A 12,206-nucleotide genomic window follows, 5' to 3' on the forward strand; every position below is an offset into this window, starting at 1 on the left:
GGTTTCACCATGTTGGCCAGGCTGGTCTCGAACTCCTGACCTCAGGTGATCCACCTGCCTCGGCCTCCCAAAGTACTGGGATTACAGGCATGAGCCACTGTGCCTGGCTGCAACAGTTTTTAATACAGAAATCGACTGAACTATGGCAAAATACCTCCATAGGCATTATTCATAACTATTTTAAGGAACCACACCCAACCTCAGTATTAAAAAAGGAGTGGAACACTCATTTCAGCTATAGCATTAACTTCTAAAACATTTAGAATGTATTGATATCAAAATCAAGCGCTTGCTACTGTAATTGTTTCACTTTTCTTAGAAACAGATGACTCAGAAAAATGATTAAGAAGCACAAGTTCACATGTGTCAGAGTATATGTACTGACAATTAAGACTTGAATTATTAGCACTCAAATTAACTGCTCATATCCAATATGGTATAAATTGGAAAATGCTTTCATTTTCAAAATATTGGCTATTAATTGTCATTGCTAGGAAAATTGACAGCTCAAAAGATCAGTTAAAGGAAAAGATGGAATAGAAATGGACGATTAAAGAGCTAAGTTAATTTTGCTAAAACGTATTCAATCTATATAAGAAAAAATAGGTTTAAAAAATACATATAAAGTAGAATATTCTCACTTAATCCAGACTTAATTTTTTAGATTCAAACAGCCAGTAATCTACTGTCCAGCTGGGAGCTGGAGGTGGTGGGGGTAGAACTGAGGGGGAAGAGATGAGGGTAAGGGTGGAAAGGAGAGCATTATAAAATATAAAACAAGCATATAGTGCTGGAATTCTCATTACCACCAAATTTGACTCAAGACAGGGAAACGCTTTCTAAGCATCATGAGACAGGATATTCTATTCTGTCCAGAAACTTACTTGAGAAAATCTACTACACCAAAGTCAGGAATTCAGTGGAATGAAAGCTTTTGGCAGCTATTCATTGGTTACCAAACCCAGTTGTTATAATGACAACACTATCAGGAACTGAAATGAAAGCTAAGTGAACTAATCATAAAAGAAGACCAAATAAGTATCATGAACTTTATTTTACACCAGAAATCGCTGAGAATATTAAGAATTTAAAAAATGAAGTTTTCATACTATTTATCACCAATTAATAAAGTTTAGAGATCAGTAGTTCTGCTTTAGAGCTTGTTAGACTTAAAATAAATATCGTGAAAATGAATATAAGTTACTCTCTCAAAAATGAGAATTTATCTAAAAAACAGAATTAATCGTCTTAAATAACAATCATATGTGAATAAATATCAACAACCTAAGACAACAGAATAGCATTTATTCATCAATTTTTTTTTTTTTTTTTTTTGAGACGCAGTTTCACTCTTGTTGCCCAGGCTCGGGTGCAGTGGTGTGATTTCGGCTCACTGCAACCTCTGCCTCCCAGATTCAAGCGATTCTCCTGCCTAAACCTCCCAAGTAGCTGGGATTACAAGCATGTCTGACCACGCCCAGCTAATTTTGTATTTTTAGTAGAGACGGGGTTTCTCCGTGTTGGGCAGGCTGGTCTCGAATTCCAGACCTCAGGTGATCCGCCCGCCTCAGCCTCCCAAAGTGCTGGGATTACAGGCATGAGCCACCACGCCTGGCCCATCAAATATTTTTAAGGGCTCACTGTGCACTAGACAGTAACAAGTTTCATAAAGAAAGCACTTTAAAAATATGTTTTGTGTTTGTTTGTTTTGAGACAGAGTCTAGCTCTGTAGCCCAGGGTGGAGTACAGTGGCAGGATCTTGGTTCACTGCAAGCTCCGCCTCCCAGGTTCATGCCATTGTTCTGCCTCAGCCTCCCGAGTAGCTGGGACTACAGGTGCCCGCCACCACGCCTGGCTAATTTTTTGTATTTTCAGTAGAGACGGGGTTTCACCGTGTTAGCCAGGACAGTCTCGATCTCCTGACCTCATGATCTGCCTCACTCGGCCTCCCAAAGTGCTGCGATTACAGGTGTGAGACACCCCGTCTGGCCAAAGTATGTTTTGTTTTGTTTTTTTAATTTTCTTTCAAAGTTGTGCAAACTATTGAACGGTTGGCATAATTCTAAGATTTGCCATTGCTACAAAAACACTAAAAATAGTAAAAGCATAAAAATTCCAATTAAAAATAAAAAACATAAACAACAATTTTGCTTAGCATAATGTAAAGAACATTTTCCATTTTCCTCTTTTGAAGAAAACACAATTGAGTTTTTTCTCCTTTGGCTTGCATGCTAGGCATTTAATTAATTTTGCAGATCCAACAGTTTATATCAAAATTTCCCATAATATGTTTCAGAACACTGGACTCAATGAAATGTTCTTTGAAGGGAGACGGAGACTTCCAAAAGCAAATAAATTTTAAAATACTACATGCCCAAACTCTTTAAAATATTAAACGTACACATGTGCATACTAAAGGTCCCGAGAAGTCACAAACTCTATCTGTTCAAATAACATCTATTAATTTTTCAGAACCAATGTTCCCCAGAATACACCTGGAAGATCTGTTTTCTAATCATTTATTAACTTAGAGCCTCTGATAACTTATTCCCTATGTGACATTGAAATAAGGCCTACATGTCAGTATGGCTTTTTTTGGCCCGCTGTGAATGTTTTGCTTGCATTTTTAAAGAAAATTAAACTTTTTTTTTTTTTTTGAGACAAGTCTCGCTCTGTCGCCCAGGCTGGAGTGCAGTGGTGCGATCTCGGCTCACTGCAAGCTCCGCCTCCCGGGTTCATGCCATTCTCCTGCCTCAGCCTCCCGAGTAGCTGGGACTACAGGTGCCCGCCACCACGCTGGCTAATTTTTTGTATTTTTAGTAGAGACGGGGTTTCACCGTGAATTCGATCTCCTGACCTCGTGATCTGCCCACCTCGGCCTCCCAAAGTGCTAGGATTACAGGCGTGAGCCACCGCGTCCGGCTAAGAAAATTAAACTTTTAAAGGCATACAAATTGCCTTATATTCACAATGTAGTATACAGTGATTTGGGGTTCCTTATCCAAGTCCAAAGAATAGGCAGGCAGGCACAAGCTCTCTCTGTAGTCTCAACTGGCAGCCACAAATGCCTCCTAGGCAGGTATCATAAATAATAAATGCCTCAGAAATCAGGCCTCCAGTAAAGAAGGCAGGGCAGAACACTTCAAAGTAGAGGACATGAGAAGATTCAGGGATACTCTGAAGATCATTTAGAGTTTTCTAGTCCCTCATTTCATACATAAGAAAATTAAGGCCACAGCCAGAGCAAGAGCAAGACTCCCAGTCTTCTGACTCCAGATCTCAGCTCTCTCGTCTAGGTCATGCTGCCTCCTGGTCCTTTTGGGGTACAAGATCTGTGGGTCGGGCCGGGCGCGGTGGCTCACGCCTGTAATCCCAGCACTCTGGGAGGCCCAGATGGGCGGATCACGAGGTCAGGAGATCGAGACTATCCTGGCTAACACGTGAAACCCTGTCTCTACTAAAAATACAAAAAATTAGCTGGGCGCGGTGGCGGGCGCCTTAGTCCCAGCTACTCGGGAGGCTGAGGCAGGAGAATGGCGTGAACCCGGGAGGCGGAGCTTGCAGTGAGCCGAGATAGCGCCACTGCACTCCGGCCTGGGTGACAGAGCAAGACTCCGTCTCAAAAAAAAAAAAAAAGATCTGCGGGTCTTTGCAACCAAAGATAAGCTGAAAAAAGACAGTGGCCATGTGGCTGCTAAGGAATAGCTATAAATTTAAAACTAAATAGCTTTATCAAACACCAGCTTCAGCCTTAGAAAGTTGAAGAAAATTAAGAAAAAGTTAATTTTTTCTCATCAGTCTAATCATTATACGATAGACTCATTTCTTGATTTTTTTTGGGGGGGGGGGGACAGGGTCTCACTGTGTCGCCCAGGCTGGAGTGCAGTGGCATGATCTCAGCTCACTGCAATCTCCGCCTCCCGAGTTCAGGTGATCCTCCCACCTCAGCCTCCCAAGTAGCTGGAACTACAGGCTTACACCACCACGCCTACCTAATTTTTGTATTTTCAGTAGAGATGGGGTTTCACCATGTTGCCCAGGCCGGTCTTGAACTCCTGGGCTGAAACAATCTTCCCAACTCGACCTCCCAAAGTGCTAAGATTACAGGCATGTGGCACCATGCCCAGTGGTATTTTTCTTTAAATATAATTTTTGGTGTGTTTTAGGTCAAATCACTTTATATTTGAGGTCATTTGGCTCAGAAGTCCTATACCTCAGCAATATATGTTGGAAACAGGATGCAAGTAACTCAAACAGGTGATTAAAGATTAAACATTTTTTAATTCCTTAAGTTTTCATTCTGTTTCCATATTCATAACACATTCTGATAGCTATTAATTTATATATGTGGCTATCTGTGATTCTGTTTATCAAAATTTAGGTACTGTAACTCCCAATTCTGTGATGCCAGCTGATCATTTCCTAATCAATTCCTAGAGAAATTTCAGATTTTACAGAGGCTCCTTTCCTTAAGCAAATCAGTAATTTCCACTGTGGTCATTATTTTCCAGGGCTAAAATCCTAAGACTCCTAATATCTATTGTGTATATTAGGAGCTACTAAGAAAAAAAAATATTCTTTTTTTAAAAATTTATTTATTTTCAAGACAAGAGTCTTGCTCTGGCTGTCGCGCAGGCTGGAGTGCAGTGGTGCTATCTCAGCTCACTGCAACCTCTGCCTCCCAGGTTCAAGTGATTCTCTTGCCTCAGCCTCCCTAGTAGCTGGGATTACAGGCACACACCACTACACTCAGCTAATTTTTGTATTTTTAGTAGAGACGGGGTTTTACCATATTGGCCAGGCTGGTCTCGAACTCCTGACCTCAAGTGATCTGCCCACCTCGGCCTCCCGAAGTGCTGGGATTACAGGCGTAAGCTACCACACCCAGCCAAAAAAAAAAAAAATTCTTTTAAATTGTAGTGATTTTTGTTTTTTAAATACAAAATAAAAAAGTACATTAGATAAAGTAGATCCTAAATATTTTTAAAATGCAAATATACAAACTTGTGTAAGAAATGTGGCAACCCTAATCTTTAGGGGCTTCTTCTTCCCAAATTCCTATAAATAAGAGTCAAATGAACGTAGATGAATAGACTAAAATGGATGTTGTTAGGCTTACCATAAAAGTGTGGAAAAATCATTACCACTCCCTTTGTACATTCCCTTTGTAAAGAATAAGAGCAAATTATGTTGCCATAGTTTTCACACTGTCTTTTCTTAAGAGATGGGGAATAGACTGACACTTTTTTTTTCATTATCTACAAGATTAAACATTGACTTAACACTAGATACTCTGAGCCAAGAGATAATGGGAGTTGTTTCCTCCCATTCCTTCTAACTCTTTTAAAGCTTCAGTCGCCCATTTTTCATAATCACTAACAGTTTAGAAACTCAACTTGACACACAAAAAATTTAATTCAAGGAGAAAAGGCACGATTGAAACATTTTGCAACCTTACGCATTTATTTTGCAGATGGATTTTTATGCCAAATTCTTGACTTGAACTAATTGTTTTCAGTGGAGAGGTGTTTTGGTTTGTCTTGGTCTTTTGTTTTTTGTGTGTATTTGTTTGTTCTGAGAGAAGGTAGACAGGAGTTAGGAAAGTTCAGAATCAAGTAAGTGCTGGGGTGGAATGCAATTACCCACAATCTTTCTATTTTCCCAAGGACTCTAGACACACTCCAGTCTCTGGGTTTCCCCAGTCTTCACCAAAGTGTGGACTGGGTTCTCCCCCTCTTCAGCGAAAGCATGAATGGTCTCCACTAAAGTTAAGCAAAGTTAAGCAAAGCCTAAATGGCTGAGTACAACAATTGTATTGCTTTAAATTGATAAGTCATATGGTATCTCTAAATAATCACTTAATGTTAGGCAAAGCATAATCAATATCATTCTTTTTACTTAAGTATAACAGTTTTTTGTTTTTGTTTTGTTGTTTTTTGTTTTGCTTAATGAACTCAAAAGACAAAACACTTTTTGTTTGGAATCTGATATATCTAGAGATTATTTTATGGTACCTTTTGTTCTTCTGTGAATTCAGAATTATTGTGTTGAGCTTGGGCCTCCTTTTGTAGATGTCTTGCTAATCTGTAAGAAGAAAACATATTCTTTAGAATGGAAGAAAAGCAAACTACTGCAACAAAGTGTAACAATTTAAAGCTTTTTAACATGTGAAGTACAATTATTGTCCTGTTTTTAAAATACAAATCTACATTGAGAACCAAATTCTTCTCAAAAAAAAAAAAACTCTTTATACAATGATGATGAAAATAAGATACAATACTTTTCATACCATTTCACTGGGACAAACTTCAGCTCTAGGCAGTAAAAACAGAGCTGGAAAGAATCTCAAAGGGCATCTAATCCAACTTTCTTTAGTATGCATGACTTTCTTCTATAATAAGCCAATAAGTAGTTGTCCAGATTCTGCTTAAACACTTCCAGGGAGCACCAGTGATTATACCAACCAGAGATACTTTATCAGTCTGTCATTGATTTGGTAGTAAAATTAGTCCTAATCCAAATTACAGCAATGACAAAGTGGTAATAATCCATCCTACTATCAATATATACTTTTGAAAACATGTTTTCATGGAAAATAAAGCAAATTCTCCACCAATCAGCAACAGAAATCATTGTCCAATTATCATTATACTTAAAAATAACAGCTAGGCCTTGCATGAGTTTTTAGTGGATGGATCTATATTATTAGTCCAAGCTCAACAATAAGGACCCAAAGTTATTTCTGAGACAGCAAAAAACTTGTATAGTTTAGTTTGTAAAAGTCAACCCTCTTACAAACTAAACTATAAAACTATGGTCTCAACTATAAAAAGACCAATTTTGGACAAAGGATTTGAATAGATAGTTCTCCAAAGAAGACATAAAATGGTCAATAAGCACATGAAAAGATGATCAACATTACTAGTCATTATGAAAACACAGATCAAAATCACAATGAGCTATCACTTCATACCCACTAGAATGAGTACAATTTTTTAAAAAATGGAACTGCATCCTTATGGGGGAAAGAGAGAGAAGACAACAGGTACTGACAGGATGTGAAAAACTGGAACCCTCAGATATTGCTGGTGGGAATGTAAAATGGCACCAGCCACTGTGGAAAACAATTTGGCCATTCCTCAAAAAGTTAAATATAGACTTACTGTATGACCCAGCAATTTCAAAATCCTAGGTATATATCCAAGAGAACTGAAAAACCATATGTTTACACACAAAAAAACTGAACACAAATGTACAGCCAAAAAGTGAAAACTACCAAAATGTCCATCAACTGATGGACAAAATGTGGTATATCCATTCAATGGAAAATTATTCAGTCAAAAAGAGGAATGAAGTACTACTAACATGTGTAACACAGATGAACTTCAAAAACATTATGCTAAATGAAAAAAGCCAGATGCAAAAGATTATACGTTATATGATTCCATTTATATGAAATGTCCAGACTAGATCAATCCACAGAGACAAAAAGCAGATTAGTGGTTGCCAGGAGATGAGGGAACTGGGAGTAACTGATACCAAGTATGGGGTTTCTTTCGGGAGTGATGGGAATGTTCAGGAATTAGACAGTGGAAATGGTTGTACAACACTGTGAATACACTAAAAACCATGGAATTGTACGCTTTAAACTGGTAAGTTTCATGTGATGTGATATTTATCTCAATTTTAAAAAAATATATGAGAAAAAACTGGCATAAGAATTTGAAAATTAAACTCCCAAGCATATTATGTACTATTCTGGGTGGGCAATAGGAACAGGAATACAAAGGGTAGCAAGTGCTAGATTTTCTACCAAGCCAACTGCAGGAAATAGTTTATGTTTCCAAATAAAATGTACTAGATGGGAGTTCTATGCAATCATGTCTTTAAAGATAAGGCATAAAGTACCTTATTCTTGATGGCCTCTATCCAATTTATGAAAGGTTTGCATCCTCCTTAACATAAGGCAATAATTAGCTTCAAAAAAACTTAATATTTGCAAGATAGCTCCACTGTGTTACTTAGTCGAACTGCTTCTATTCATTTATTTCTTTTCTCCCAAAGCTGGAAGCCTCATAATATTTTCCCTAAAATGTCATTCATAGACTCACTTTTTGTGGATTCTATACAGGAGAAGGTACAAATAGAAACAATATAGCCATTGTCTTTGTTCTGTACTTGGTTTCTTTTCTAACTCTTACTGGCCTACCACCTACATGGAGTACTCCCGAGTAATCTATACACTGTATCCTTAACAACATCAACTATACATCCCTGAACTCAGGGAAGTTACAGTGTGGAATGAGTTTCTTTGAGTAATTCTACACATAATTTGCAGTGGTGGCCATCAACCTAAGCAGAATCACTGTCAGAAGGGTGTAATTCTACACTCCTGTTCAACCGCTAATTGGCAATAGGGAAAGGAAGGATGCTTGATTCAAAAGGAATCTTGCATAAAAGTTATGCAAGGCCAGGCAGAGTGGCTCACACCTGTAATCCCAGCACTTTGGGAGGCCAAGTGGGTGGATCACCTGAGGTGAGGAGTTCGAGACCAGCCTAGCCAACATGGTGAAACCCCTGTCTCTACTAAAAATATGAAAATTAGCGGGGCGTGGTGGCTGGCACCTGTAATCCCAGCTACTGTGGAGGCTGAGGCAGGAGAATCGCTTGAACCCGGGAGGCAAAGGGTGCAGTGAGCCAAGATCGCACCACTGCACTCCAGCCTGAGTAACAAGACCAAAACTCCATCAAAAAAAAATGCACAAAAGAATCAGAGGAAATATTTGCAAATCATATATCTGATAAAAGACTGTATCCAGAATATATAAAGATCACTTAGAATTCAATAGATAAAAGACAGGAAACTCAATTTTAAAATGCGTAAAAGATTTGAAAAGATAGTTAAAAAAATTTACAGAAGGAAAGGAAGCATACAAAAAGACACTCAACTTTATTAGTCACTAAAGAAATGCAGATTAAAACCACAGTGAGGTATGTATTATACACCCGCTAGAATGGCTATAATCCAAAAGACAATAACAAATGCTGGTGATATGAAGAGACTGGAACCCTCCTGCACTGCTGGTACAAATATAAAATGATACACCCAGTTTGGAGAATTATTTGGCAGTTTCTTTATAAAGTTACACATAAATTTATCATATGACCCAGTAATTCCACTCCTAGGCATCTACCCAAGAAAAATGAAAATATATGTCCATGCAAAGACTTGCATTTGAATGTTCAGGGCAGTATTACTAGTAACAGTCCAAAAGTAGAAACAATCCAAATGTCCACCAACTAGTGAAAGGATACACCAAATATGGTATATCCATAAAAGGTAGTATTACACACCAATTTAAAAAAAAAAAGCAATGACACATGCTACAACATAGATGAAACTTAAAAACATTAATTACGCTAAATGAAAGAAGTCAGATGCAAAAGATCACACCCGGCATGTGGTGGCTCATGCCTGTAATCCCAGCACATTGGGAGGCCGAGGCAGGTGGATCACTTGAGGTGAGGAGTTCGAGACCAGCCTGGCCAACATGGTGAAACCCTGTCTCTACAAAAAAATACAAAAATTAGCCAGGCGTGGTGATGCGCACCTGTAATCCCAGCTACTCAGGAGGCTGAGGCACGAAAATCATGGAGGTTGCAGTGAGCCTAGATCACCCCCCTGCACTCCGCCCAGGGTAACAGAGTGGGACTGCGCCTCAAAAAAAAAAAAAAAAAAAAAAGATCACATACTGCATGATTCAAATTTCGTGAAATGTCTGGAAAAGACAGATCTATAGAGACAAAATGTAGATCAGTGGTAGTCTGTTGCTAGAGTGGGAATATGATATGGAGTGACTGCAAATGAACACTAGGTGTCTTGTGGGGGTGATGGAAATTTTCTAAAATCTGTAACGATGGTTGCACATCTTGGTAAATTTCACTAAAAAATCATTAAATTGTACATGTAAAATAGATGAATTTCATGTATATAAATTATACCTCAATAAAGTTGTCTGTAAAATAACTTTTTTTTTGAGACAGGAGGAAAAAAAAACAACTTGGGCAGGCTGGAGTGCAGTGGCATGATCTTGGCTCACTGCAACCTCTGTCTCCGGGGCTCAAGCAATCCTCCCACCTCAGCCTCCTGAGTAGCTGAGACCACAGGCGTGTACCACCACACAAGGCTAATTTTTGTGTGTTTTGTAGAGACTGGGTTTTGCCATGTTGCCAAGGCTGGTCTTGAACTCCTGAGCTCAAGCATTCTACCCATCTAAGGCCTCCCAAAGTGCTGGGATTACAGGCGTGAGCCACCGCACCCAGCCATAAAAAGAACTTTTTAAGCCGACATGAAAAATTAATTTTCTATATCCACAAATGAGTATACCATTTTAAGACAAAGTGACACCTGATTGTGTCCACTGAGAGAAATCTACACGTTCTGAATATTAGATGAGCAAATAAATGTTGACATTCTATTAGGAAAAGTGAAATAAACCTGTCAAATATTCTTCTCTAGAGACTCATCTCACCCTACAAAGGTACCTACAAGTAAAACGGGACTATTCTCAAGGGAGAGTTTTAAACATACCTTAAGCACATACACAAGTAACTCCTGGAAACCCCACAGCATTCTGTGACATAGAAATTCGTGCTTCTCAAACCATCTGTAGCAAAGGATCACTTTTTCCCTAAATTTGTTCTAGACTAATACTTTTGTGAAATACAATTTCAAAAATATCATGAGGATGTCAAATTGCTATAAAGTTTCCACATGCTCTCAATTTCTTTCCTTATCTTACTGCACAGCAGTAACAGTTTACAGACCATCACCAATCTGTGGACCACACTTTAAGTAGCAGAGACATAAAGCACAGCAAAAATGACAAGTGGGGCCGGGCCTGGTGGCTCATGCCTGTAATCCCAGGACTTTGGGAGGCCAAGGCAGGCAGATCACTTGAGGTCAGGAGTTCGAGACCAGCCTGGCCAACATGGTGAAACCCCGTCTCTACTAAAAATAAAAAAAAATTAGCCAGGTGTGGTGGCACGCGCCTGTAGTCCCAGCTACTCAGGAGGCTGAGGCAGGAGAATCACTTGAACCTGGGAAGTGGAGGTTGCAGTGAGCCGAAATCGCACCACTGCACTCCAGCCTGGGCGACAGAGTGAGAATCCATCTCAAAAAAAAATGACAAGTGGCCATTATCCAGTCTTCAGACTCATTGATTCACTTAGCAGATATTTATTGGTTTTTTTAAGACGAGTCTCACTCCGTCACCCAGGCTGGAGTGCAGTGGCACGATCTCCCCTCACTGCAACCTCCACTTCCCAGGTTCGAGCGATTCTTGTGCCTCAGCCTCCCGAGCAGCTGGGACTACAGGCACACGCCACCACGCCCGGCTAATGTTTTTGTATTTTTAGTAGAGAGGGGGTTTCGTCATGTTGGCCGGGATGGTCTTGAACTCCTGACCTCAAGTGATCTGCCCGCCTCAGCTTCCCAGTGCTAGGATGACAGCCGTGAGCCACCACACCCAACCAGTTAGCAGATATTTATTGAGTATCCATGTGCTAGATAAATATCTCAGGATTGATCCTGTGAAATGTCTGATTCTGAGCAACAGTTTCTGTGCCACTCTACCATAAGTTAGGGGCCACATATCCCCAGATAGCTAAATGCAGTTATTTTTAATTGATCATCTAATACTTCGGATGCCTATTTTAGTCTTGACAGAATTCATTTAAATCTTCCAATAGTATTTTGGCATCAACTCCTTAATGCTCCCATAGCATACTCCTAAATTCATCCATTCAATAGAATAATTACATAATATCTAAACAAACAATGACGTGTGGATAGCCTAGTACTACTCTGGACACTAAGTATACAGTAGAGAACAAAACAGACACCGCCCCAACACCCTGCAACATAAGCCCATACTTTACCCTCAAAGAGCTTACATTACAGTGGGGAAAGACAGTAAACAAAACAAAACAAATACAGAAAATGTATTTTCAACTGTAGCCGGGCACGGTGGCTCATGCCTGTAATCTCAACACTCTGGGAGGCTGAGGTGGGTGGATCACGAGGTCAAGAGTTCAAGACCAGCCTGGCCAAGATGGTGAAACCTGGTCTCTACTAAAAATACAAAAATTAGTTGGACGTGGTAGTGCGCGCCTGTAATCTCAGCTACTCAGGAGGCTGAGGCAGG

General features: G+C 39.5%; 1 protein-coding gene across 2 annotated transcripts in view; it reads right to left on the bottom strand.

Annotated features, from left to right (window-relative positions):
* The window catches only part of AIDA (axin interactor, dorsalization associated), a 44,479-nt gene that overhangs the window by 29,121 nt on the left and 3,152 nt on the right, over positions 1 to 12,206 (bottom strand). For both annotated transcript variants that reach the window (NM_022831.4, XM_047428100.1), the window contains exon 2: positions 6,015 to 6,084. In NM_022831.4, coding sequence (NP_073742.2) covers positions 6,015 to 6,084 — 70 coding nt within the window. The remainder of the gene's footprint in view (positions 1 to 6,014; positions 6,085 to 12,206) is intronic.

Source organism: Homo sapiens, chromosome 1 (genome assembly GCF_000001405.40).
Source record: "Homo sapiens chromosome 1, GRCh38.p14 Primary Assembly".
NCBI classification, from domain to species: domain Eukaryota; kingdom Metazoa; phylum Chordata; class Mammalia; order Primates; family Hominidae; genus Homo; species Homo sapiens.